We start from the raw sequence: 26,048 nt of genomic DNA on the forward strand, positions 1-26,048 counted from the left end.
AATGGGATTACAAGCACGAGCCACAGTGCCCAGCCTGTTTTTATTTTTATTTTATTTATTTATTTATTTTTTGAGATGAAGTCTCACTGTCGCCCAGGCTGGAGTGCAGTGGCGTGATCTTGGCTCACTGCAAGCTCCACTTCCCAGATTTATGGCATTCTCCTGCCTCAGCCTCCCGAGTAGCTGGGACTACAGGTGCCCGCCACCACGCCTGGCTGATTTTTTTGTATTTTTGGTAGAGACGGGGTTTCACCGTGTTAGCCAAGGTGGTCTGGATCTCCTGACTTAGTGATTCACCTGCCTCGGCCTCCCAAAGTGCTGGGATTACAGGCGTGAGCCACCGCGCCCGGCCGCCTGTTTTTATTTTTTTAATTATTTTAAGAGATGGGGTCTCCCTCTCTGTGTCTCCTAGGCTGGAGTGCAGTGGTACCATTATAGCTCAATGCCACCTGTAACTCCTTGGCTCAAGTGATCCTCCCACCTCAGCCTCTTGAGCAACTAGGGTTATAGGCACAGCCACCACACATCGTTAATTTTTTTGTTGTTTTTGAGACGGAGTTTCACTCTTGTTGCCCAGGCTGAGTGCAATGGCACGATCTTGGCTCACTGCAACCTCCGCTTCCCAGGTTCAAGCGATTCTCCTGCCTCAGCCTCCCAAGTAGCTGGGATTACAGGCACCCGTCACCACGCCTGGCTTATTTTTGTATTTTTAGTAGAGACGGGGTTTCAGCATGTGGCCAGGCTGGTCTGGAACTCCTGACCTCAGGTGATCCATCTGCCTCAGCCTCCTGAAGTGCTGGGATTACAGGTGTGAGCCACTGCGCCTAGCCTTTTTATTTTTATTTTTAATTTTTTTGAGAGACAGGGTCTCCATCTGTTGCCCTGGCTGGAGTGCAGTGGTGCCATCATAGCTCACTATAGTCTCGAACTCCTGGGCTCATGTTATCCTCCCATCCCAGCCTCCCAAGGAGCTAGGACTACAGCAATGTGCCACCACACCCAGCTAACTTATTGGAACAATTTTCATAGAGACAGGGTCTTGCTATGTTGCCTAGGGTGGCCTCAAACTCCTGGCCTCAAGAGATCTTTGTGCTTCAGCCTCCCAAAGTCCTGGGATTACAGGTGTGAGCCACAGTGCCTGGCCGAGCCAGTAGCATTTATCTTCAAATCTCTCTCACTTGCTGGGACTCCTGCTTTTGTCCTCACTTCTTCTCTGACTCTGATCCTCTGTCTCCCTCTTATAAAGATCCTTGTGATTGTATTGGACCCACCCAAATAATTTGCCATAATCCTGTTATCTTAAAATCCTTAACTTTGCCAGGCATGGTGGCTGACGCCTGTAATCCCAGCACTTTGGGAGGCTGAAGCCTGAGGATCGCCTGAGGCCAGAAGTTCAAGACCAGCCTGGGCAATATATCAAGATCCTGTCTCTATAAAAAAATCTAAAAAAATAGCTGGGTGCAGGCCAGCTGTGGTGGCTCACGCCTGTAATCCCAGCACTTTGGGAGGCTGAGATGGGTGGATCACCTGAGGTCAGCAGTTCAAGACCAGCCTGGCCAACATGGTGAAACCCCATCTCTACTAAAAATATGGAAATTAGCCACGTGTGGTGGCGCATGCCTATAATCCCAGCTACTCGGAAGGTTGAGGCAGGAGAATCGCTTGAACCTGGGAGGTGGAGGTTGCAGTGAGCTGAGATCATGCCATGGCACTCCAGCCTGGGCGACAGAGTCAGACTCCACCTCAAAAAAAAAAAAAATTAAAAATTAGCTGGGTGTGGTGGTACACGCCTGTAGTTCCGAATCAGGAGGCTGAGGTGGGAGGATTACTTGAGCCCAGAAGGTCGAGGCTGCAGTGAATCGTGATCACGCCACTGCTCTCCAGGCAATAGAGTGAGACTCTGTCTCAAAAACAAACACAAAAAAACCTACACCTGGCCGGACGCGGTTGCTTGCTCTTGTAATCCCAGCACTTTGGGAGGCCGAGGTGGGTGGATTGCTTGAGCTCAGGGATCCTCCCACCTCAGCCTCTGACCAGCCTGGGTATCATGGTGAAACGCCATCTCTACAGAAAAGCTAGCTGGCATGGTGACACATGCCTGTAGTCCCAGCTACTTGGGAGGCTGAGGTAGGAGGATCACTTGAGCCCAGGAAGTCGAGGCTGCAGTAAGCCATGATTGTGCCACTGCGCTCCAGCTTGGGTGACAGAAGGAGACTAAAAAAAATGTTGAACCCCCCAAAGCAACTGCCTCATCAAAGTTTGGGGAAATACTTTAAAAAAAAGAAAAAAAGAAAGAAAGAAACAAACAAAACCAGGCTGGGTGTGGTGGCTCACACCTAATCTCAGCATTTTGGGAGGCTAAGGCGGGCCGATCACCTGAGGTCAGGAGTTCGAGACCAGCCCCTGGCCAACATGGTGAAACCCCGTCTCTACTAAAAATACAAAAAAAAATTAGCCGGGTGTGGCGGTGGGTGCCTGTAGTCCCAGCTACTTGGGAGGCTGAGGCAGGAGAATCATTTGAACCTGGGAGGTGGAGATTGCAGTGAGCCAAGATCGCACCACTGCACTGCAGCCTGGGCAACAAGAGCGAAACTCTGTCTCAAAAATAAATAAATAGGCCGGGCGCGGTGGCTCACGCCTGTAATCCCAGCACTTTGGGAGGCCGAGGCGGGTGGATCACAAGGTCAGGAGATCAAGACCATCCTGGCTAACATGGTGAAACCCCATCTCTACTAAATATACAAAAAATTAGCCTGGCGTCATGGCGGGCGCCTGTAGTCCCAGCTACTCGGGAGGCTGAGGCAGGAGAATGGCGTGAACCCGGGAGGCGGAGCTTGCAGTGAGTCGAGATTGCGCCACTGCACTCCAGCCTGGGCAACAGAGCGAGACTGCATCTCAAAAATAAATAAATAAATAAATAATTAATAAACTAAAAACAAAAAACAAAAAAGCAAATAAAAAGTCCGTACACTTCTGAGTAGTTAAGTGCCTTGTGCAAGGAAGGAGGATGCTGAGTGGGGAACCCAACCCAGATCTATCCATTATGCTGCTACCTAAATCCTTTGTATTGCTGGTCTACCACCCAGTGCTGTGCTGTGCTGTGCTGGGCCTGCTGAAGTTGCCGTGGGCTGATGTCCACGCTGCTTCCCTCATGCCTCTCCTTACTCCTGGCTGCAGGGGGACGTAGCAAGAAGACTGAGGCTCCAGCCTGGGTGCCTGGTGTCTAGCATAGAGTGGTGGACGTTACTGCTTGGCTCTCCGCGTGTCCCCCTCTCACCTACCCTTGCCCCTGGCTCGTCTTCCTAATGCAGACGCTGCAAAAAACCCCTCCAACCCCTACATTTCCCAGATGCCTTTGCTGCTCCGTTTCTGGATGCAGAATTGGTTCTACCAATGAGAAATGCTCATGAGAGATTTAGAAAGTGGAAGTGAGGCAGTGTGGGCTTGTGTGTATATCTTGCTGAGAAGCAGGGTTGTGGAGCTATACATTTTATTTTCATGAATTCGTGTTCTTTGTTGGACCCATTTCCAGGTCATAGTTCTGGTAACTGCCTCTTTGTTCTCCACCTTTCTCCCTATACAAAGGAGCTGCTCCTTGGTGACCCAGCTCTGTGGTGTCACGAGGGTCCTACCTATTCCGGGGCTGCTCAATCTGTGGTCTTATTCACACATCTTTAGCATCTCCTGAGAACTTGTTAAAAATGCAGAGTCTTGAGCCCCACCCCGGACCTACTTACTGAATCTGCAACTGTGAGGGGGTGAGACTGAAGAAACTGTGCGTTAGCAAGTTGTTCTGCTGATTCTTTTGCACGGTAAAATTTGAGAAGCCTACACAGCCCACTCTCTCAGCGTCTTCCAGTGATTTTGCAAGCACCATCGATTCTTGTATTAAGTTCCTGTCTGCTTAATATACCTAGAATGGTCCCCACACGGAACTCTGGCTGCCTGTGTCAGGATTCTAGGGTTCAACTAGCAGGGTTTGAATTCCAGCTCACTGTTTAGTAGCCATGTGACCATGGGCAAGTGACTTTGTGTGGCAAATTGTAATTTATTCCTTCATTTTTTCCTTCCTTCCTTCTTTCCTTCCTTCCTCCCTCTTCTCTCCCTCCCTCCCTTCCTTACTTCCCTCCTTCCTGTCTTCCTGTCTTCTTGCCTTCTTCTTTTCTTCCTTCCTTCCTTCTTTCCTTCCCTCCTTTCTTTTCTCTCTCTCTTTCTTTTCTTTCTTTCCTTCTTTTTTTTGAGACAGAGTCTCACTCTGTTGCCCAGGCTGAAGTGCAATGGCACGATCTCAGCTCACTTCAACCTCTGCCTCCCAGGTTCAAGTGATTCTCCTGCCTCAGCCTCCTGAGTAGCTGGGATTACAGTTGCGTGCCACCATACCCAGCTAATTTTTTGTGCCTTTAGTAGAGACGGGGTTTCACCATGTTGGCCAGGCTGGTATTGAACTCCTGACCTCGTGATCCACCCGCCTCAGCCTCTCAAAGTGCTGGGATTACAGGTGTGAGCCACCGTGCCCAGTACATTCCCCTCCCCTCCCCTTACTTCCCCTCCCCTCCCCTTCCGTTCCCTTCCCTTTCTTTTCTCCCACAGTGTCTCACTCTGTCACTCAGGCTGTCGTGCAGTGGTGCAATTACAGCTCAGCTCACTGCAGCCTTGACCTCCTTGGCCTGCTGAGTAGCTGGGGTTACAGTTGTGCACCACCACAGCGAGTTATTATTATTATTATTATTATTATGTATTTTTTGTAGAGACAGGGTTTTGCCATGTTGCCCAAGCTGGATTCAAACTCCTGGACTCAAGTAATCTGCCCGCCTTGGCCTCCCAAAATTTTGGGATTACAGGAGTGAGCCACCGCACCTGGCCAAAAATTTGTAATTTCTAAAGATGGCCATGGCTCTATTACTCACCCTACGTGCTCTTCTAGAATCTTGCCACTCTACCATCAAGAGCTGGAGTGTGGGTTGGGCATGGTGGAACATGCCTGTAATCCCAGCATTTTGGGAGGCCAAGGCGGGTGGATCACCTGAGGCCAGGAGTTTGAGACCAGCCTGGTCAACATGGTGAAACCCCATCTCTACTAAAAATACAAAAATTAGCTGGGTGTGGTGGTGGGTGCCTGTAATCCCAGCTACTCAGGAGGCTGAGGCAAGATAATTGCTTGAGCCCAGGAGGCGGAGATTGCAGTGAACCAAGATCATGCCATTGTACTCCAGCCTGGGCGACAAGGGTGAAACTCTAACAAAACAAAACAAAACAAAATAAAAGAGCTGGAGGATGGACCAAGTGTGGTGGCTCATGCCTGTAATCCCAGCACTTTGGGAGGCTGAGGCAGGAGACTAGCCTGGGTGACAAAGTGAGACCCTATCTCTAATGTCTACTAACAATACAAAAAAATTAACCAGCTGTGGTGGCATGTGCCTGTAGTCCTAGTGACTCTGGAGGCTGAGGTGGGAGGATTGCTTGAGCCCAGGAGTTTGAGGTTTCAATGAACCATGATCACACCACTGCACTCTACCCTGGGTGACAGAGTGAGATCCTGTCTCAAAAAGAAAAGAGCTGGAGTCTGTACTTCATCCCCTTGAATCTGAACAAGGCTTAGTGACTGCCTTGTTGGTGAGTCCTGAATAAGTGACACTGTATGACTTCTGAAGTTAGGTCATAAAAATGCAATCCGTTTTTTTTTGCATTTACTTCTGTCCTGCTCTCTTGGGGTGTTTGCTCTGGGGGAACCTGGCAGCCATGTTGTGAGGAAGCCCAAGGGGACTATGGAGAGACACTAAGGTCTTTGTTCTCCTTACTCCTGCTGAGCCCCCAGCTGATAATTGGCACCACCTGGCCAGTCTGTTGTGAGCCACCTTGGAAGTAGATCCCTCTACCTCTGGCTAAGATGCTCTGGCTGATGTCATAGGGAGCCTAAATGAACTGCCTCGCCAATCCTTGCTCAGATTACAGATTTGGGAGCAAAATAAATACCTGTTTTTGTCTTAAGCCACTAAGTTTTGGGGGATTGTTACACAGCAAAAGCTAACTGATAATGCTCTTCTCTCTCTAAACCTTGGCTTGGAAGGGGATAGAAGCTTAGGCCTTCCAGGGTTGGTGTGAGGCTTGCATGAAATGAGGCATGAGTCATGCACACAGAAAAGTTTCATGTGGGTGAGCTGTGTTGTTACTCTGGCAAGATTGCCACTTGGGTGCCAGCTCAGGCTGCCATCTTCCTGGCACCCTTCCCTAGAGATTCCCCTTCCTGCCTTCCATATTTGCAAGGTGCTGCACAGAGAACAGCAGTACCTCTGCCACCAAGCACCCACTCTGTGCTCCTGAGATCTCCTCAGATCCTCACGAACAATTCTGAGGTGGGTGTGTCAGAGACGTGTGAACCAGAACAACTCCATCTTGAATAGGAGCTGGGTAAAATGAGGCTGAGACCTGAGACCTACTGGGCTGCATTCCCAGATGGTTAAGGCATTCTAACTCACAGGATGAGATCGGCATAAGATACAGGTCATAAAGACCTTGCTGATAAAATAGGTTGCAGTAGGCCGGGTGCGGTGGCTCATGCCTATAATCCCGGCACTTTGGGAGGCCGAGGCGGGTGGATCGCGAGGTCAGGAGATCAAGACTATCCTGGCTAACACGGTGAAACCCCGTCTCTACTAAAAATAGAAAAAATTAGCTGGATGTGGTGGTGGGCGCCTGTAGTCTTAGCTACTCGGGAGGCTGAGGCAGGAGAATGGCGTGAACCCGGGAGGTGGAGCCTGCAGTGAGCCGAGATCATGCCACTGCACTCCAGCCTGGGCGACAGAGTGAGACTCTGTCTCAAAAACGACAACAACAACAAAGCAAAACAAAACAAAACAAACAAACAAACAAACAAAAAACAGGTTGCAGTAAGGAAGCTGGTCAAAACCCACCAAAACCAAGATGATGATGAGTGACCTCTGGTTGTCCTCACTGCTACACTCCCACCAGCGCCATGACAGTTTACAGATGCCACGGCAATGTCAGGAAGTCACCCTACATGTTCTAAAAAGGGGAGGCATGAATAATCCACCCCTTGTCTAGCATATCATCAAGAAAAAACCATAAAAATGGGCAACCAGTGGCTCTCATCTGTGGAGTAGCCATTCTTTGTTTTTTTTTTTTTTTTTTTTTTTTTTGATACGGAGTCTCGCTCTGTCACCCAGGCTGGAGTGCAGTGGCGCCATCTCAGCTGACTGCAACCTCTGCCTCCCAGGTTCAAGTGATTCTCCTGCCTCAGCCTCCCAAGTAGCCGGAACTATAGGCGCCTGCCACCACGCCCAGGTAATTTTTGCATTTTTAGTAGAGTTGGGGTTTCACCATGTTGGTCAGGCTGGTCTCTCCTGGCCTCAGGTGATCCACCCACCTCAGACTCCCAAAGTGTTGGGATTACAGGCATGAGCCACTGCACCTGGCTCCTTTATTTATTTATTTAATTATTATTATTTTTTGAGACGGAGTGTCACTCTGTTGCCAGGCTGGTGTGCAGTGGCGTTATCTTGGCTCACTGCAACCTCTGCCTCCCAGGTTCAAGCGATTCTCCTGCCTCAGCCTCCGGAGTACCTGGGACTACAGGCGCCCACCACCACGCCCTGCGAATTTTTTTATTTTTAGTAGAGATGGGATTTCGCCATGTTGACCAGGCTGGTCTCTCCTGGCCTCAGGTGATCCACCTGCCTCAGCCTCCCAATGTTGGGATTACAGGTGTGAGCCACCGTGCCCTACCCCTTTACTTTCTTAATAAACGTGCTTTTACTTTATGGACTTGCCCTGAATTCTTTCTTGAGATCCAAGAACCCTCTCTTGGGGTCTGGATTGGGACCCCATTCCTATAACAGTTGTGGGGGGATCCTGGGGGAAAACATACGATCCCATTTTACAGGTGGGAAGACCGAGGCTGAGAGAAGGCAAATGGCTTAGTCAAAACCTCAGGGTTAGTGGGTGGCCTAGCCTGGCCCGTCTGATCCCTCCCCAGCACGCCCCCCATCCAGAGATGAGATGTCATCGGTACCCTCCTCCATCCTGTAGAGAAAAGCCCGCACTTGCTGTAAGAGAGGAAAGAGGGATTCGGCAGAAACATCCATGACAACAATTAATTTATTTATTGAGGGTGAGGCAGGGAAGCGGGGAGGGAGGGTAGGGGTGACCTCTCTTCCTCACAGGCACCAGGCCTTGTTTCTCTCCCAGATAAGCTAAGGTCGGCAGGGGCTGAGGGGAGTGAGGCAGGGAGGATGCATGGGGCCTGTGGGAATCAGAGAGAAGCTGGGGTCAGAGGTAGGAGCTGACGCTGTGGGGGGTGGGGGGTGAAAGGTGAGGCAAGGTCAAAGGTGAACTGCAGCTCGGAGGGAGGGGTCCAATATAAACCAGGACTTGCAGGTGTAGAAGTAAAATGGGACTCATAGAGGGTGAAAGAGAAGTTGGAGTCAGAGGGGATTCAGAGATCAAAGAGAAGTTGGGGTCAGAGGTAGGAGCTGGGGCTCAGGTGGGGGGTTAAAGGTGAGGCAAGGTCAGCGGTGAAGTGCAGCTCAGAGGGAGGGGTCAAACATAAACCAGAACTTATAGGTCTAGAGGTAAAATGGGATTCATGGGGGGCAGAGGTCAAAGGTGAAGCAGAAGTCAGGGGTGAAGGAAGGTCTGCAAAGTTAAAGGTGCGGTTTCCAGAGTCAGAAGGGGTGAAGCGGGGCTCCTCCTGGGAATGTCAAGGTTGGAAGAGCTCAAGGGGGTTAAAGATAAATTAGGGCTCAAAGGGGAGCCAGGGTCGGAGATGAAGTAGCCAGAGGTAAAGCGAGCTCCAAAGGTATTGTTAGGGTCAGCGGGGAGTCAGCCTTGGAGGGAAAGCGGGGCTCTAGGGTTCAGAGATGGGGGGCCTAGCGGATCAAAGGTCAGAAGCCTCGAGGGGACAGGTGGGAAGCGATGGGAGCAGCCTAGGCCACCTCCTCCTCCGCCTCCTCCTCGAACTCGCCCTCCTCGGCCGTGGCGTCCTGGTACTGCTGGTACTCAGATACCAGGTCATTCATGTTGCTCTCGGCCTCGGTGAACTCCATCTCGTCCATGCCCTCGCCCGTGTACCAGTGCAAGAAGGCCTTGCGCCGGAACATGGCCGTGAACTGCTCGGAGATGCGCTTGAACAGCTCCTGGATGGCCGTGCTGTTGCCGATGAAGGTCGCGGCCATCTTCAGGCCGCGGGGCGGGATGTCGCACACGGCCGTCTTCACGTTGTTGGGGATCCACTCCACGAAGTAGCTGCTGTTCTTGCTCTGCACGCTCAGCATCTGCTCGTCCACCTCCTTCATGGACATGCGGCCCCGGAACACGGCGGCCACGGTCAGGTAGCGGCCGTGGCGCGGGTCGCACGCCGCCATCATGTTCTTGGCATCGAACATCTGCTGGGTGAGCTCGGGCACCGTCAGGGCCCGGTACTGCTGGCTGCCCCGGCTGGTCAGGGGTGCGAAGCCGGGCATGAAGAAGTGCAGGCGAGGAAAGGGAACCATGTTGACGGCCAGCTTGCGCAGGTCGGCGTTCAGCTGGCCCGGGAAGCGCAGGCAGGTGGTGACCCCGCTCATGGTGGCCGACACCAGGTGGTTGAGGTCCCCGTAGGTGGGGGTGGTCAGCTTGAGGGTGCGGAAACAGATGTCGTAGAGTGCCTCGTTGTCGATGCAGTAGGTCTCATCCGTATTCTCCACCAGCTGGTGCACAGACAGCGTGGCGTTGTAGGGCTCCACCACCGTGTCTGACACTTTGGGCGAGGGCACCACGCTGAAGGTGTTCATGATGCGGTCTGGGAACTCCTCGCGGATCTTACTGATGAGCAGCGTGCCCATTCCGGACCCCGTGCCACCCCCCAGCGAGTGGGTCAGCTGGAAGCCCTGAAGGCAGTCGCAGCTCTCGGCCTCCTTCCGGACTACGTCCAGGACAGCGTCCACCAGCTCTGCGCCCTCCGTGTAGTGCCCCTTTGCCCAGTTGTTGCCGGCTCCGGATTGGCCTAGAGAGGGAAGGGGAGGGGACACACATGCAGTTATGGGGAGCCCCAACCCTTGACTCTGTCTCTCCACCACCTGGAGGGCCTCTAGTAGTTGAATACTAGTAACTATCAAAAATAATAACAAATAGCCGGGTGCGGTGGCTCACACCTGTAATCCCAGCACTTTGGGAGGCCGAGGTGGGCGGATCACGAGGTCAGGAGATCGAGACCATCCTGGCTAACACGGTGAAACCCCGTCTCTACTAAAATTACAAAAAAAATTAGCCGGGAGTGGTGGCGGGCGCCTGTAGTCCTAGCTACTCGGGAGGCTGAGGCAGGAGAATGGCGTGAACCCAGGAGGCGGAACTTGCAGTGAGCCGACATTGTGCCACTGCACTGCAGCCTGGGCAACAGAGCGAGACTCCGTCTCAAAATAATAATAATAATAATAATAATAAATAATAACAATTATAGCCAGGTGTGCTGGTGAGCGATCGTAGTCCCTGGCTACTCGGGAGGCTGAGGCAAGAGAATTGCTTGAACCTGGGAGGAGGAGGCTGCAGGTAGCCAAGATTGAGCCACTGCATTCCAGCCTGGGTGACGGAGTGAGACTCCATCTCAAAAACACACATACACACAAAACACTCCCCCGCCCCCTGCCTAAAAAAAAACCAAGACTGGGCACAGTGGCTCATGCCTGTAATCCTAACACTTTGGGAGGCAGAGGTGGGAGGATTGCTTGAGCCCAGCAGTTCAAGACTAGCCTGGGCAACCTAGTGAGGCCATGTCTCTACAAAAAAAAAAAAAAAAAAAAAAAAAAAAAAATATATATATATATATATATATATATATATATATATATATAAATTAGCCAGTCATGGTGGTGGCACACCTGTAGTACCAGTTACTAGGGGGGCTCAGGTGGGAGATTGCTTGAGCCCAGGAGTTGGAGGCTGCAGTGAGCTATGATCACACCATTGCAGCCTGGGAGACAGAGCAAGACCCTGTCTCTAAAACAAATAAATAATAACAATAAAAAGATTAATATTTAACATCATTATTAATAATAATATCATTTTCAGGCAGGGTCTTGGTATGTTGCCCAGGCTGGAGTACAGAGGTGCAATCATGGCTCACTGCAGCCTTGACTTCCCAGGTTCAAGTGATCCTCCTGCCCCAGCCTTTTGAGTAGCTGGGACTACAGGCTTATGCTACCAGATCTGGCTAATTTTTGTATCTTTTTTTTGTAGAGGTGGGGTTTCGACATGTTGCCCAGGCTGTTCTTGAACTCCTGAGCTGGAGCAATCCACCTGCCATGGCCTCCTAAAGTGCTGGGATTACAGGCGTGAGCCACCATGCTTGGCCTGTGTTTTCTTGTTAATCATGTTTATTGTCTGCAAGCTCACTGTGGAATGCAAGCTCCCGGAGGAAAAGAATCAGTATTAGAATATTGGCCAGGCGCAGTGGCTCATGCCTGTAATCCAGCACTTAGGGAGGCCGAGGCGGGCAGATTGCGAGGTTAGGAGATCGAGACCATCCTGGCTAACACAGTGAAACCCTGTCTCTACTGAAAATACAAAAAATTAGCCGGGCGAGGTGGCGGGCGCCTGTAGTCCCAGCTACTCGGGAGGCTGAGCCTGCAGTGAGCCGAGATCGTGCCACTGCACTCCAGCCTGGGCGACAGCAAGACTCCGTCTCAAAAAAAAAAAAAAAAAAAAAGAAGAATATTGGCCAGGCGTGGTGGCTCACGCTTGTAAACCCAGCACTTTGGGAGGCCGAGGCGGGCGGATAGCGAGGTCAGGAGATCAAGACTATCCCGGCTAACACGGTGAAACCCCGTCTCTACTAAAAATAGAAAAAATTAGCTGGATGTGGTGGTGGGTGCCTGTAGTCTCAGCTACTCGGGAGGCTGAGGCAGGAGAATGGCGTGAACCCAGGAGGTGGAGCTTGCAGTGAGCCGAGATCGCGCCACTGCACTCCAGCCTGGGCGACAGAGTGAGACTTTGTCTCAAAAAAAAAAAAAATGGAATAAAAAAAAGAATATTGGCCGGTATTACTGTGAACAGCTAACGTTTTCTTTCACCCCTCATCTGTCTCCACCTTAGTTCAGCTCCAGCATCACCCTCCTGGATAAGTTCAATTCCCTCTGTCCTGGTCCCCTGGCTCCTACCCTTATCACCCAGTCTGTCCTCTCCACAGTACCCACGAGAGGACACCTGAGAGCAAGTAAGTCAGGTCCCGTCCCTCCTCTGCCTACAGCCCTCCATGGCTCCCACCTACCTTGGGGTCAAAGCCCAAATCCTCCCTGCAGGCCACAAGGCCCTGCCGGACCTGCCCCATCCCCTCCCTCACTCTGCTTCAGCCGCAGCTGTTACTCCAGCTTTCCAGGTGTGGTCCTGCCCTGGGGCCTTTGCACTAGTGGCTTGGCTGCTTAGAATGCTTTCCCCCCAGGTATTCACCTGACTTTTTCCTCACTTCCTTCAGGTCTCAGCTCAATGCCACATCCTCAGAGAAGCCACCTCTGGTCACCCCCTCCCTCCTCCTCCCGAGCCTGGTGGTTTAGACTGCAGATTCTCGGGACTGACAAGACAAACTGTGTGACCTTGGACAAGTGACTTCCCCTTTCTGATCTGTTGGAAGATTTCAAAACATAATGATGCAGTTTTGTGGCCGTGGCCCATCATAGGTCCTTGGGAAATGGCTGGGTGAAATCAAGATGAAATGAGATTGGCCAAATGGTGTGAGTGATTTCAGGAGGACCAGAGGGCTTACAGTTGGGCCAAGAGATTCTATGGCCTCTGGGTGGCCAGGGGGTGGGAGGAGCATTAAAAGTGTGGGCTCAGACCAGGCGCGGTTGCTCATGCCTGTAATCCCAGCACTTTGGGAAGCAGAGGCAGGCAGATCACCTGAGAGGTCAGGAATAGGAGACCAGCCTGGCCAACATGGCGAAACCCCGTCACTATTAAAAATACAAAAAATTAGCTAGGTGTGGTGATGCATGCCTGTAGTCCCAGCTACTCGTGAGGCAGGAGAATCGCTTGAATCTGGGAGGTGGAGGTTGCGTCACTGCACTCCAGCCTGGGCAACGGAGACTCCGTCTCAAAAAAAAAAAAAAGCGTGGACCTAGTAGTCAGACCCTCTCCTCTGGCTCCTGACAGCCCCAGTGGCTTGCAGTGTGACTTTCTGCAAGTGACCTAACGTCTCTGTGCCTCTGTTTTCTCACCTGTAAAATGGAAGTAAGAGGCGAGTTGCGGAAAAGATTCAGAGAGGCAGGACAGGTCCTGCATTTAGCACGTCTTACATGCTGGGAGTATTGGAGGCGGGTGGAGCCAGGGTGGGGACATGCAGCCAGCTGGAGCCAGGAAAGCTTTCCCGGAAGGATTGTCCCAGGGTGTGGACACCCCACTATCTTCACATATGCTGTTGCCTCCGTCTTAAACATCTTTCCTCCCTTCCATGCCCTTTGGCCAGTCCAAATCCTACTCACATTCTAGACTGCAGATAGTAATGAAAACAACGACAAATGCTTATTTACCTCTTTCTCTGTGTCAGGCATTGTTCTAAACTCTACACATATTCATGACTTTAAGCTTCACAATTTTTTTTTTTTTTTGGAGACGAAGTTTCACTCTTGTTGCCCACGCTGGGGTGCAGTGTCATGATCTTGGCTCACCACAACCTCTGCCGTTCAAGCAATTCTCTTGCCTCAGCCTCCCGAGTAGCTGGGATTACAGGCATGTGCCACCATGCCTGGCTAATTTTTTATTTTTAGTAGAGATGGGGTTTCTCCATGTTAGTCAGGCTGGTCTCAAACTCCCGACCTCAGGTGATCCACCCGCCTCGGCCTCCCAAAGTGCTGGGATTACAGGTGTGAGCCACCGTGCCCACCCTGAGCCTCACAATTCTAATAGCATTTTAGAATCCCTGTTTTATTTGATCTTTTTTAGAGATGGGGTCTCACACCATCGCTCAGGCTGGAGTGCAGTGGCACCATCATAGCTCATGGCAGCCTCAACCTCCCAGGCTCAAGTGATTCTCCTACCTTAGCCTCACGAGTAGCTGTGACTACAGGTGCACACCACCTCACTCAGCTAATTAAAATTTTTTTCTTTTTGTAGAGACAGGGTCTCACCATGGTGCCCAGGCTGGTCTCGAACTCCTGACCTCAAGCTCTCTTCCTGACTCAGCCTCCCAAAGTCCTGGGTTTATAGGCATGAACCACCATGCCCAGTGAAATCCCTGTTTTAAAGACGAGGAGGCCGGGCAAGGTGGCTCATGCTTGTAATCCAGCACTTTGGGAGCTGAGTTGGGTGGATCGTTTGAGTCCCGGAGTTTGAGACCAGCATGGGCAACATAGAGAGACCCACCTCTCTACAAAGAAAACTAAAAAATTAGCTGGGTGTGGTGGTGCATGCCTGTAGGTCCAGCTACTTGGGAGACTGAGGCAAGAGGATCACGTGTGCCCAGAGGTGGAGGTGACAGTGAGCCGTGATCATGCCACTGCACTCTAGCCTGGGTGACAGCAGGACAGACAGACCCTGTCTGAAAAAAAAAAAAAAAAGAGGATTTTTGAGGCCCAGAAAGGCTGAGGAGCCCATCCTAAGTTATCCATCTGAATCAACCCCTGGCAGAGCTTTACTTATTTATCTCCTTTGTGGCCTATCACCTTCTACCAGAATGGGAGCTGCACTGGGGCAGAGAGGGAGCTCCGGCTGTTTGATTCTTACCTGGATCTCCAGCTTCTAGAACAGGGCCTGGTATGCAGTGAGTGCTCACTGTTTGTTGAATGCATGAAGTGGCAGAATTGGGATGTGCACCCAGGCAGTCTGGTTCCGGTTCAGACCGTTGAATTAAAATGCCACCTCCTCCAGGAAGACTTCCCTGAATCCTTCTCTGTATCCGCCCTCCTCAGGGCTCTCACAGTGGCCTGAGCATCCCCTCATCACAGCCCTGGATGCAGGGCTGGTGCCTGGTGCCCTGTCCACCCCATCTCTGGTCTGTGGGCCCCGGTGGTGGCTGTTGACTCTGTGGTGTTAGCAGGAATAAGGAGGTTTTCCAGCCTCTGGCTCCCTGCTGGGGGACTCACCAAACACGAAGTTGTCCGGCCGAAAGATCTGACCGAAGGGGCCAGAACGGACAGAGTCCATGGTGCCGGGTTCCAGGTCCACCAGCACCGCTCTGGGGACATAATTTCCTCCTGCAGGGAAACAGATGGAGGGCAGTTCGATGCGTGCCAGGAACCACAGGCGCCCGGTAGCATCCTGTTCCCTCCCAGCTGCCCCTTCCCACCTGGAAGGTGCCTCCTTCGCCCTACCTGTGGCCTCGTTGTAGTACACGTTGATCCTCTCCAGTTGCAGGTCACTGTCCCCATGGTATGTGCCTGTGGGGTCGATGCCATGTTCGTCACTGATAACCTCCCAAAACTAGAGAGAGAGGTGGTCGGAAGAGTTGAGAGAGGGGAAGCCGGTGGCCAAGCCGAGGACTGCCCCCAGCCCCCAACTAGCTCCCTAGCTGCCACCTCTCCCCCAGCAAGGTGAACGGGGGACCTAGAGGCATGGTGTCGGGGCGAGGATGAGGCAGCAAGAAGGAGCGGTGGGGGCGGGGTGCAGCCGAGTCAGCACCCAGCGGGGCCGGCTGGTGCCAGCGCACCCAGGCTGCAGCCCGGGGGAGGCACCGGGGCTCTTTGTGCGTGAGGAGGGGACAGTGGCCCAGCTGTGGGCCCAGCTGTGACAGGCGGACAGAAGGCTGGCTCCCACTCTCCGCAGCCTCTTTGTTCCCAGTCTGGCCCTGCCACCCCCACCCCGCGACCCTTCCCCCAAGGCCCCTGGGGCGCGCTGGCCTCCTGGGGACCTCATTCCTTTCCAAAGACTCCCAGGTTGCGGGGTGCTCCGGGGACCGACCCCGCGGTGCTCCCCGGGGCCGCCACTGCCTCCCCGGGCCCCGTTCCCCGAGCACCTTGGCCCCGATCTGGTTGCCGCACTGGCCGGCCTGCAGGTGCACGATCTCCCGCATGGCGGTGGCGCTGAGGGTGGACGCGGCGGCGGTGGCACGAGCGCGGGGAGCTGCGGCGGCGGCGAGGGTGGAAGATGCGGCGGAGACGGCGGAGCACGGTCCCTGCGCCCCCGGGAGCCGCTATATGAGCGGGCGGGGCACGCGTCACGGCCGGTCACCCTCCCGCTCCGCCCCTTGGTCCCGCCCCGGGATGATGGAGGGGGCTGGGGTGGGGGGAGGTGGTGCAGGGACCTCCCTCCCCAGGGGGCCTCCCAGAGAAGTCCGGGACGCCACGTGCTCCGACCCCTGCCTTGGGGGTGAGGCCCCTTAGGGAGCCACCAGTGCAGTCTCCCCCGTCCCAGCCCCCAGCCAGGCTTGGCCACCCGCAGAAATTGGGCGGAGGAAGGGAGGGGAGCGCCTGGTAAACAGGCATCTGAGAAGTCCTGCCCCTCCCCCTTAGCCTCCACCCTCCCGCCCCAGGCCTTGCCTCAGTTTCTCGGTCCGCAGCCCCCCTTCTCATTCTATTTAGACCTCATTCGCCAGAATCCTTGCAGTAACCGCGAGCCCTCCCAGTGGGCTGGGGGCTCCGGAGCGGCGATCTGGTTTGCGGGTGGGGGGCGGTAGGTTCCTGGAGGGCTTGTCCTGAAGCTGCATAGTAAAACCACGATTTTCCTCCCATGATTGGGTGCAGATGCTGGTGGGCTCCCCTGGTACACCTCTACTGGGCATTGAGCTCGTCCCAGGTGGGGTCACCCCCAGCCTGGCCTAAGGAGGAGAGTGGAGGAGTAAGACAGCTGGGTTCATATTGGGAGGGGGACAGTGAGTCCCCAGGGCTGCCTCGCTTTCCCAAAATAACACCCCTCCTCTCCAGTATTGTAATTTATCTTTATCTATATCTATACCCTTTTTTTTTTTTTTTTGAGACAGAGTTTCGCTCTTGGCGCCCAGGCTGGAGTGCAATGGCCCAATCTCGGCTCACTACAACCTCAGCCTCCCAGGTCCAAGCGATTCTCCTGCCTCAGCCTCCCGAGTAGCTGGGATTACAGGCATGTGCCACCACGCCCGGCTAATTTTTTTGTATTTTTAGTAGAGACAAAGTTTCTCCATGTTGTTCAGGCTGGTCTCAGACTCCTGACCTCAGGCCATCTGCCCACCTCTGCCTCCCAAAGTGCTGGGATTACAGGCGTGAGCCAACGCGCCCGGCCTATATATATATATTTTCGGACAGGGTCTTGCTCTGTCCCTCAGGCTGTAGTGCAGTGGCATGCTCATAGCTCACTGCAGCCTCAATGTCCTGGGCTCAAGCAATCCTCTCACCTCAGCCTCCCAAGTAGCTGGGACTGCAGGTGCATGCCATCACGCCTGGCTAATTTTCAAGATTTTTTGTAGAGATGGGGTCTCGCTATGTTGTCCAGGCTGCTCTCCAACTCCTGAGCTCAAGAGATCCTCCTGCCTCAGCCTCCCAAAGTGCTGGGATTCCAGGCATGAGCCACTGCGCCCAGCTCAGTATTATAATTTATTACCCACCATCTCCCTTGCCTCTGCATTTCCTGTAGCATTAGGTGTATGACCTTGCCCTGGTGCTCCTCTCTGTGTCTGAATTTCACATTTGCAAGTTGGGGTGGTGAGGAAGGCCCACCCTCCAGGGTCTGATTATGCGATGACCCAGTTAACAAGGTGGCGATAGTCTCCCCTCCTGCAGAGTCAACAATAAATTGTATCTTTCTCGAGTCTAAGTATTATCAGAGGCTGGACTGGACTTCCTGTGCTGCCCCTCATGTGAAGGTCAAGCCTCCTGGGGCTGCTTCCTTGGACAGCCTCCAGTCCCGCCCTCCCAGGAAGTCTCCTCCTCGCCTCCCATCCTTGACTTTCCCACTCAAGGACTTTGGTGTATTGCTGGTGGGAGGTGGGGTAAGCCATCTTGGCCATGTGGTTGGGACCTCACATTTGCCATGGCCACTAATTTTTTTTTTTTTTTTTTTTTTTTGACAGAGTCTTGCTCTGTCACCCAGGCTGGAGTGCAGTGGTGCCATCTCGGCTCACTGCAACCTCTGCCTCCTGGGTTCAAGCCATTCTCCTGGCTCAGCCGCCCCAGTAGCTGAGATTACAGGTACGTACCACCATGACCAGCTAATTTTTGTATTTTTAGTAGAGACGGGCTTTCACCATGTTAGCCAGGCTGGTCTCGAACTCCTGACCTCGTGACCTGCCCACCTTGGCCTCCCAAAGTGCTGGGATTACAGGCGCGAGCCACCGCGCCCAGCAAATTCTTTTTTTTTAATTTCTTGCCCTGTCATCCAGGCTGGGGTGCAGTGGCATGGCCATGGCTCACTGCAGCCTCGAACTCCTGGGCTCAAGTGATTCTCCCACCTCAGCCTCCCGAGTAGCTGGGACTACAGGCATGCACCAATATGCCTGGGTAATTTTTGTATTTTTTTGTGGAGATGGGGGTCTTGCTATGTTGCCCAGGCTGGTCTCCAACGCCTGAGCTCAAGCAATCCTCCCACCTCAGCCTCCCAAAGTGCTGGGTTTACACATGTGAGCCATCGTGCCCTGCCCAATGACCACTAAATTTGACCAGTGGCTCTCAACAGCGTGTGTGTGAGAGTGTGTGTGTGTGTGTGTGTGTGTGTGTGTGTGTGTCGGGGGGGCGGGGGAGCGGTGATATTGCCTTCCCAGGGAACACTTGGCAATATCTGAAGACATTTTTGGTTGTCGTACCCAGATGGGGGCGGGGATGTGTGTGTGAGACTATGTGTGCACTACTGGCATCTAGTGGGTGGAGGCCAGAGATGCTGCTGAAAGCCCTTCAGTGCACAGGACGGCCCCACCCCAGAGAATGATGCAGGCCCAATGTCAACAGGGTTGAGGCTGAGAAATCCTGTGTTAATTATTTTGGGAAAAAATTTGTGTTAGCCCCTTCGCTCACACTAGATGCCAGAATAAATTCCAGAGGGGCTAGACCTTATATGGGTTTGGTGGGGCGATCCCTTAGCTTCTGTGACTTATATACTCTCTCTCCCTCAACTCAGTTAGTATGTGTGTATGTATGTTTTTATCTTTTTAGCAAGCTATTTTTTTTTTTGAGATGGAGTTTCGCTCTTCTTGCCCAGGCTGGAGTGCAGTGGTGCAATCTCTGCTCATCTCAACCTCCGCCTCTTGGGTTCAAGCGATTCTCCTGCCTCGGCCTCCCGAGTAGCTGGGATTACAGGCATGCACTGCCACGCCCGGCTAATTTTGTATTTTTAGTAGAGACAGGGTTTCTCCATGTTGGTCAGGCTGGTCTTGAACTCCCGACCTCAGGTGATTCCCCTCACCTTGGCCTCCCAAAGTGCTGAGATTACAGGCGTGAGCCACTGCACCCGGCCGCCATTTTTTTTTTTTTTTTTGAGACAGTTTCACCCTGTTGCACAGGCTGGAGTACAGTGGTGTGATCATATCTCACTGCAGCCTTGACCTCCCAGGCTCTGGTGATCCTCCCACGTCAGCCTCCTGAGTAGCTGGGACTACAGGTGGGCACCACCAGGCCTGGCTAATTTTTGCATTTTTTGTAGAGACAGGGTCTCGCTATGTTGCCCAGGCTGGTCTCAAACTCCTGGGCTCAAGTGGTCCTCCTTCCTGTCAGGCCTCTGAGCCCAAGCTAAGCCATTGTAACCCCTATGACCTGCTCGTATACATCCAGATGGCCTGAAGCAACTGAAGATCCACAAAAAAAGTGAAAATAGCCTTAACTGATGACATTCCACCATTGTGATTTGTTGCGGCCCCACCCTAACTGATCAATGTACTTTGTAATCTCCCCCACCCTTAAGAAGGTTCTTTGTAATTCTCCCCACTCTCAAGAATGTACTTTGTGAGATCCACCCCTGCCCCCAACACATTGCTCCTAACTCCACCGCCTCTCCCAAAACCTATAAGAACCAATGATAATCCCACCACCCTTTGCTGACTCCTTTTTCCCACTCAGCCCGCCTGCACCCAGGTGAAATAAACAGCCTTGTTGCTCACACAAAGCCTGTTTGGTGGCCTCTTCACACGGACACGTGAGACACTGCCTTGGCCTTCCAAGGTGCTGGGATTATAGGTGTGAGCCACTGCGCCTGGCCAGCAAATGATTTTTTATTTACTCGCATAGTATAGCTCCAATAGGAAAGTAATTTGGCTTAGCACTCTTTACAGCTCCAGCACAATCTTGAAGGCATCCTAAGGTTTCTCTGACCCACACCTAACAGTGGCTTTAAAAAACGGCCGGCCGCGGTGGCTCACGCCTGTAATCCCAGCACTTTGGGAGGCCGAGTTGGGCAGATCACGAGGTCAGGAGATCGAGACCATCCTGGCTAACACGGTGAAACCCCATCTCTACTAAAAATACAAAAAAAAAAAAATTAGCTGGGTGTGGTGGTGGGCGCCTGTAGTCCCAGCTACTCAGGAGGCTGAGGCAGGAGAATGGCGTGAACCCAGGAGGCGGAGCTTGCAGTGAGCCGAGATTGCGCCACTGCACTCCAGCCTGGGCGACAGAGTGAGACACCATCTCAAAAAAAAAAAAAAAACAAAAACCCTCCAAAACCCCTCCCCACCTATACTTCTTTTTTTTTTGGAGACGGAGTTTTGCTCTTGTCGTCCAGGCTGGAGTGCAGTGGCACGATCTCAACTCACTGCAACCTCTAACTCCGGGGTTCAAGTGATTCTCCTGCCTCAGCCTCCTGAGTAGCTGAGATTACAGGTGTGCACCACCACCCTCAGCAAATTTTTGTATTATTGGTAGGGACAGGGTTTCACCATGTTGGCCAGGCTGATCGCAAGCTCCTGACCTCAGGTGATCCACTCGCCTCGGCCTCCCAAAGTGTTGGGATTACAGGCGTGAGCCACCACGCCTGGCCCCTATGCTTCTTTTTTCTTTTTTATTTTTTTGAGACGGAGTTTCGCTCTTGTTGCCCAGGCTGGAGTGTAATGGTGCGATCTCCGGCTCACCGCAACCTCTGCCTCCCAGGTTCAAGGGATTCTCTTGCCTCAGCCTCCTGAGTAGCTGGGATTACAGGCATGTGCCAACACACCTGGCTAATTTTGTATTTTTAGTAGAGACGGGGTTTCTCCATGTTGGTCAGGGTGGTCTCGAACTCCCAACCTCAGGTGATCCACTAGCCTCAGCCTCCCAGAGTGCTGGGATTTCAGGCGTGAGCCACCGCACCCGGCCGCGGCCCCTGTGCTTCTTATCTTGCTCACGAATATCTGAAAGTTTGAAGATTCTTCCAGCTTTAAAAGCAGTTATGTGGGCTGGGCGTGGTGGCTCATGCCTGTAATCCCAGCACTTTGGGAGGTTGAGGCAGGTAGATCACTGAAGACCAGGTGTTTAAGGCTGCCCTGGCCAACATGGCGAAACCCCTGTCTTTACTAAAAATACAAAAAGTAGCTGGGCATGATGGTGCGCACACTTGCAGTCCCAGCTACTCAGGAGGCTGAGGCATGAGAATCACTTGAACCCAGAAGGCAGAGGTTACAGTGAGCTGAGATTGTACCACTGCACTCCAGCCTGGGTGACAGAGAGACCCTCTCTCCAAAAAGAAAAAAAAAAATTGATCTCTCTTTCTGAGGTCCATAAAACCAGGAAAAGGCCTGCCTCCTTGTTGGTGTGATCTGCCTGTCATCTGGGGCTGGGGCAACGTTTCCACCCTCTCTGTGAGCCTCGAGAAATTGTTGACATACACCCCAGCTCCTCATCCTCCCCGAGGGGACAGAGAGGGCCCACTCTGCCTATTATTAATAATAATAGTGCTGTGTAGACCAGATCTATGGCCAGATCTTGTTTTCAAGTGCTTGCTGTGTCAGCTTGTGTGTGTGTGTGTGTGTATATATATGTGTGTGTGTATATATATATGTGTGTATATATATATGTGTGTGTATATATATATAATTATTTTTTTAGGTGGAGTCTCACTCTGTCTCCCAGGCTGCAGTGCAGTGGCCCTATCTCAGCTTATTGCAACCTCCACCTTGGCCTCCCAGTGCTGGGATTACAGGCATGAGCCACTGCACCTGGCCTTGTTTATATTTTACTTATTTATTTACTTTTTGAGACAGAGTCTCACTGTGTCACCCAGGCTGGAGTGCAGTGGCCTGATCTCGGCTCATCACAACCTCCACCTCCCGGGTTCAAGTGGTTCTCCTGCCTCAGCCTCCTGAGTAGCTGGAACTACAGGCGCCCACCACCACGCCCGGCTAATTTTTGTATTCTTAGTAGAGATGGGGCTTCGCCATGTTGGCCAGGCTGGTCTGCCAATGTGCTGGGATTACAAGCGTGAGCCATGGCACCTGGCCAGCTTGTTTATATTTTTAGCTGATGAAACCACAACCTAGGAGGTAGTTGCTGTTCTATGCCTATTCTACAGATGAGAAAATGGAGGCCTAAGGAAGTTGAGTATCTCACCTGACTGTCCCATACTGTTGAGGCTGGGAATAGAGTCAAAAGAGCCCCGCATTCCAGGTCCAAAGACCCTGCTCTTTATCGCTACAGGATGTTGGAGTTACTTTGTTATTTGACTTTTTTTGTTTTGTTTTTTGTTTTGAGGCAGAGTCTTGCTCTGTCACCCAGGCTGGAGTGCAGTGGCATGATCTTGGCTCACTACAACCTCTGCCTCTGGGTTCAAGTGATTCTCCTGCCTCAGCCTCCTGAGTACCTGGGATTACAGATGCACACTACCACACCCGGCTCATTTTTGTACTTTTAGTAGAGACGGGGTTTCACCATGTTGGCCATCACACCAGGCTAGTCTCAAACTCCTCACCTCAGGTGATCTGCCCACCTTGGCCTCCCAAATTACTGGGATTACAGACGTGAGCCACCATGCCCATCCAGTTATTTGATCTTAAAAAAAAAAAAGAGGCGGGGTACAGTGGCTCATGCCTGTAATCCAAGCACTTCGGGAGGCCAAGGTACGTGGATTGCTTGAGCCCAGGAGTTTGAGACCAGCCTGCCCAACATGGTGAAACCCCGTCTGTACTGAAAATACAAGAATTAGCCGGGCATGATGGCAGGTGCCTGTAATCCTAGCTACTAGGGAGGCTGAGGCAGGAGAATTGCTTTAACCCGTGAGGCGGAGGTTGCAGTGAGCTGAGATTGCGCCACTGCACTCCAGTCTGGGTGTCAGAGCGAGACTCTGTGTCAAAAGAAAAAAAAAACAAAAAAACCCAAAAGGCTGGCAATCCAGTGAGTTGTCTTTCAGGAGGAAAATGTTGCTGGTGTTGAGGCAGCCGTGTGACTGTCACGTGCTCCGTGGCCTGGGCCTCTCCGTGTCATGTGTCTGCCCACCACGGTGCCCGGTGTTCCCGGCTGGCTCTGATGTGTGCTGTCAGCTTCCAGCATCGGAATGTATGCTGTCTTTGTGTACTTGGCCTGTGGGTCACTGGCCCTTTTCCCAAGGTCCTTGCCACCCCTTCTCCCCGGCCCCTCCTTCCACCTCCCCACCCAGACGGTAGAGTCTGATTTCCTTTTCCTCTGCCAGGGTGGAGCCCAGCCCTGGGCATTGACACAGCCAGCATGGGCCCTCTCCAGCTAGAGGCAGCGGGAGACAGAGGGTTGGAACGGTTACTGTTCTGAGACAGGGATGCTGAATGAGTCTTAAGAGAAGCCCTCCCAACTCCAGGGACACACACAAGCTCTGTGGAAGCCGTGCCTGGCACTGTTGGGACCAATTATGGGGTGGGGGGTGCTGGAAGGGGTGGGGAGGGGGACAATGGAGCATTCTCTGGCCTTGCTGGGCCTACTGCCACCAGATACCCCATGCAGTACATCCCGAAGAAGGCATGTTCAGAATAGAAGGATTTCCTAGTGGCTCACACGGGTAATCACTTTAAGAGGCCAAGCAGGGAAGATCGCTTGAGGCCAGGAGTTCAAGACCAGCCTGGGCAACAAAGTGAGACTCTGTCCCTAATTTAAAATAATTAAGTAAATAAACTAGAAGGATTTCCTGAGCCAGGTGTGTTGGCTTATGTCTGTAATCCCAGCACTTTGGGAGACTGAGGCAGGAGGATCACTTGAGGCCAGGAATTCAAGACCAGCCTGGGCAACAAAGCCAGATACCATCTCTATTAAAACAAACAAACAAACAAACAACAACAACAAAAAAAAAACCATAAAAAAATAGGGCCAGGTGCCGTGGCTCACACCTGTAATCCCAGCACTTTGGGAGGGCGAAGTGGGCGGATCACCTGAGGTCAGGAGTTCGAGACCAGCTTGGCCAACACAGTGAAACCCCGTCTCTACTAAAAATGCAAAAAATTAGCTGGGCATGGTGGCAGGCACCTGTAGTCCCAGGTACTTGGGAGGCTGAGGCTTGAGAATCACTTGGACCTGGGCAGGGGAAGTTGTAGTGAGCCAAGATTGCACCACTGCACTCCAGCTTGGGAGACAGAGCAAGACTCCATCTCAAAAGAAAAAGAAAAAGAAAAGAAATAATAATAGAAGGATTTCCTGGGAGATGGGGAGGGAGGAGTGTTGACATCAGCTAGGGCTGGGGCTGGAATGGGGAGGGGACACTTTCTGAACTCCTCTTCCCTACCCACCCCATTGCCTAGCAGTGAGGACCTCGTCTGGGCACCCGGTGCAGGTGTAGCTGGTGTGCAGTTGCTCTCACAGTTTAAGGAGGCCGGATGTGGCAGGCACATGGTCAGAAAGTGGGGCTGCAGGCTATCCATGGTCATCTTGGAGATTCTGGTCAGGGAGGAGCTGACCATGTCACCAGAGATGAAGGTGCCCCGCTGCTCGTAAACCATGACCCTGTAGATTTTACCGTTGAAGGCCAGCAAGCTCGGCTGCAGGTTCTGATTGTGAAAGAAAAATCAATCTTGGGGCTCCTAAATCACTAAACTAAAGGAAAAAGTCAAGCTGGCAACTGCTTAGGGCAAACCTGCCTCCCATTCTATTCAAAGTCACCCCTCTGGCCAGGCAGCGTGGTGGCTCATGCCTATAATCCCAGCACTTTGGGAGGCTGAGGCTGGTGGTTAGCCGGGCCTGGTGGTGCATGCCTGTAATCTCAGCTACTTGGGAGGCTGAGGCAGGAGAATCACTTGAACCCGGGTGGTGGAGGTTGCAGTGAGCCAAGATCATGCCATTACACTCCAGCCTGGGTGACAAGAGGGAAAGTCCCTCTCAAAAAACAAAAAACAAGGGCCGGGCGCGGTGGCTCATGCCTATAATCCTAGCACTTTGGGAGGCCGAGGTGGGCGGATCATGAGGTCAGGAGATTGAGATCATCTTGGCCAACATGGTGAAACCCCGTCTCTACTAAAAATACAAAAAAATTAGCCAGGCGTGGTGGCAGGCGCCTGTAGTCCCAGCTACTTGGGAGGCTGAGGCAAGAGAATGGCGTGAACCCAGAAGGCGGAGCTTGCAGTGAGCAGAGATCACGCCACTGCACTCCAGCCTGGGCTACAGAGTAAGACTCCGTCTCAAAAAAAAAAAAAAAAACCCCACAAAAAACAAAAAACAACAAGAACAAAGTCCCCACCTGCTCACTGAGATACCTGCATATCTGATTGGCCTCTTTGGAGAGGCTAATCAGAAACTCAAAAGAATTCAAGCATTTGTCTCTTATCTACCTATGACCTGGAAGACCCTTCCCTGTTTCCAGTTGTCCCTCCTTTCCAGACCGAACCAATGTTCATCTTGCATATGTTGATCTCATGTCTCCCTAAAATGTATAAAACCAAGCTGTGCTCTGACCACCCTTGGGCACATGTCATCAGGATCTCCTGAGACTGTGTCACATATACGTGTTCTCAACCTTGGCAAAATAAACTTTCTAAATTAACTGATGGCCGGGCACAGTGGCTCACGCCTGTAATCCCAGCACTTTGGGAGGCTGAGGCGGGTGAATCACCTGAGGTCAGGGGTTAGAGACCAGCCTGGCCAACATGGCGAAACCTCATCTCTACTAAAAATACAAAAATTAGCCAGGTGTGGTGGCACATGCCTGTAATCCCATCTACTCAGGAGGCTGAGGCAGGAGAATTGCTTGAATTCAAGAGGCGGAGGTTGCAGTGAGCTGAGATCGCACCACTGCACTCTAGCCTGGGGAATAGA

At 52.4% G+C, this 26,048-nt stretch overlaps 1 protein-coding gene across 6 annotated transcripts, besides 8 other annotated features; it reads right to left on the minus strand.

Annotated features, from left to right (window-relative positions):
* Positions 3,462-3,731: an enhancer, noted in NCBI's record as "active region_13825". NCBI's record gives its function as "activates an Ori minimal core promoter by ATAC-STARR-seq in GM12878 lymphoblastoid cells {active_cell/tissue: GM12878}" and the evidence as "EXISTENCE:reporter gene assay evidence [ECO:0000049][PMID:35858748]".
* TUBB4A (tubulin beta 4A class IVa) lies at positions 8,098-16,627 on the minus strand. 6 transcript variants are annotated; one of them, NM_001289129.2, is made up of 5 exons: positions 16,458-16,627; positions 15,935-16,041; positions 15,294-15,402; positions 15,066-15,176; positions 8,098-10,000 (listed from the first exon to the last, which is right to left on the minus strand). In NM_001289129.2, exons 2-5 carry the CDS (start codon positions 15,989-15,991, stop codon positions 8,943-8,945), a joined length of 1,335 nt encoding a protein of 444 aa, NP_001276058.1. In that variant the 5' UTR covers positions 15,992-16,041; positions 16,458-16,627; the 3' UTR covers positions 8,098-8,942. The 6 variants fall into 6 exon arrangements, with proteins under 6 accessions (NP_001276058.1, NP_001276056.1, NP_001276052.1 ...); NM_001289127.2 differs by having other exon boundaries at positions 15,935-16,093; NM_001289123.2 differs by having other exon boundaries at positions 15,935-16,111.
* Positions 15,605-15,714: a silencer, noted in NCBI's record as "silent region_9954". NCBI's record gives its function as "represses an Ori minimal core promoter by ATAC-STARR-seq in GM12878 lymphoblastoid cells {active_cell/tissue: GM12878}" and the evidence as "EXISTENCE:reporter gene assay evidence [ECO:0000049][PMID:35858748]".
* Positions 15,885-16,064: a silencer, noted in NCBI's record as "silent region_9955". NCBI's record gives its function as "represses an Ori minimal core promoter by ATAC-STARR-seq in GM12878 lymphoblastoid cells {active_cell/tissue: GM12878}" and the evidence as "EXISTENCE:reporter gene assay evidence [ECO:0000049][PMID:35858748]".
* Positions 16,075-16,344: a silencer, noted in NCBI's record as "silent region_9956". NCBI's record gives its function as "represses an Ori minimal core promoter by ATAC-STARR-seq in GM12878 lymphoblastoid cells {active_cell/tissue: GM12878}" and the evidence as "EXISTENCE:reporter gene assay evidence [ECO:0000049][PMID:35858748]".
* Positions 18,472-18,611: an enhancer, noted in NCBI's record as "active region_13826". NCBI's record gives its function as "activates an Ori minimal core promoter by ATAC-STARR-seq in GM12878 lymphoblastoid cells {active_cell/tissue: GM12878}" and the evidence as "EXISTENCE:reporter gene assay evidence [ECO:0000049][PMID:35858748]".
* Positions 18,472-18,966: a biological region, named in NCBI's record as "CRISPRi-validated cis-regulatory element chr19.1358". NCBI's record gives its function as "regulatory_interactions: TUBB4A".
* Positions 18,489-18,966: a transcriptional cis regulatory region, noted in NCBI's record as "candidate enhancer chr19.1358 targeted for multiplex CRISPR interference". NCBI's record gives its function as "positively regulates TUBB4A gene expression with high confidence in K562 cells {active_cell/tissue: K562}" and the evidence as "EXISTENCE:mutant phenotype evidence [ECO:0000015][PMID:30612741]".
* Positions 20,573-21,484: an enhancer, noted in NCBI's record as "H3K27ac hESC enhancer chr19:6506805-6507716 (GRCh37/hg19 assembly coordinates)". NCBI's record gives its function as "activates a minimal SCP1, AML or CMV promoter by ChIP-STARR-seq in primed H9 embryonic stem cells {active_cell/tissue: H9 hESC(primed)}" and the evidence as "EXISTENCE:reporter gene assay evidence [ECO:0000049][PMID:30033119]".

This window comes from Homo sapiens, chromosome 19 (assembly GCF_000001405.40).
Source record: "Homo sapiens chromosome 19, GRCh38.p14 Primary Assembly".
Taxonomy (NCBI): domain Eukaryota; kingdom Metazoa; phylum Chordata; class Mammalia; order Primates; family Hominidae; genus Homo; species Homo sapiens.

Coding starts and splice junctions, on each gene's coding strand:
- TUBB4A (NM_001289123.2), bottom strand. CDS start 16,490: ATGAGAAGGGGGGCTGCGGACCGAGAAACTGAG. Junction 15,403..15,934: donor GCAACCAGATCGGGGCCAAG/GTGCTCGGGGAA, acceptor CTCTCTCTCTAG/TTTTGGGAGGTTATCAGTGA. Junction 15,177..15,293: donor GTACTACAACGAGGCCACAG/GTAGGGCGAAGG, acceptor GTTTCCCTGCAG/GAGGAAATTATGTCCCCAGA.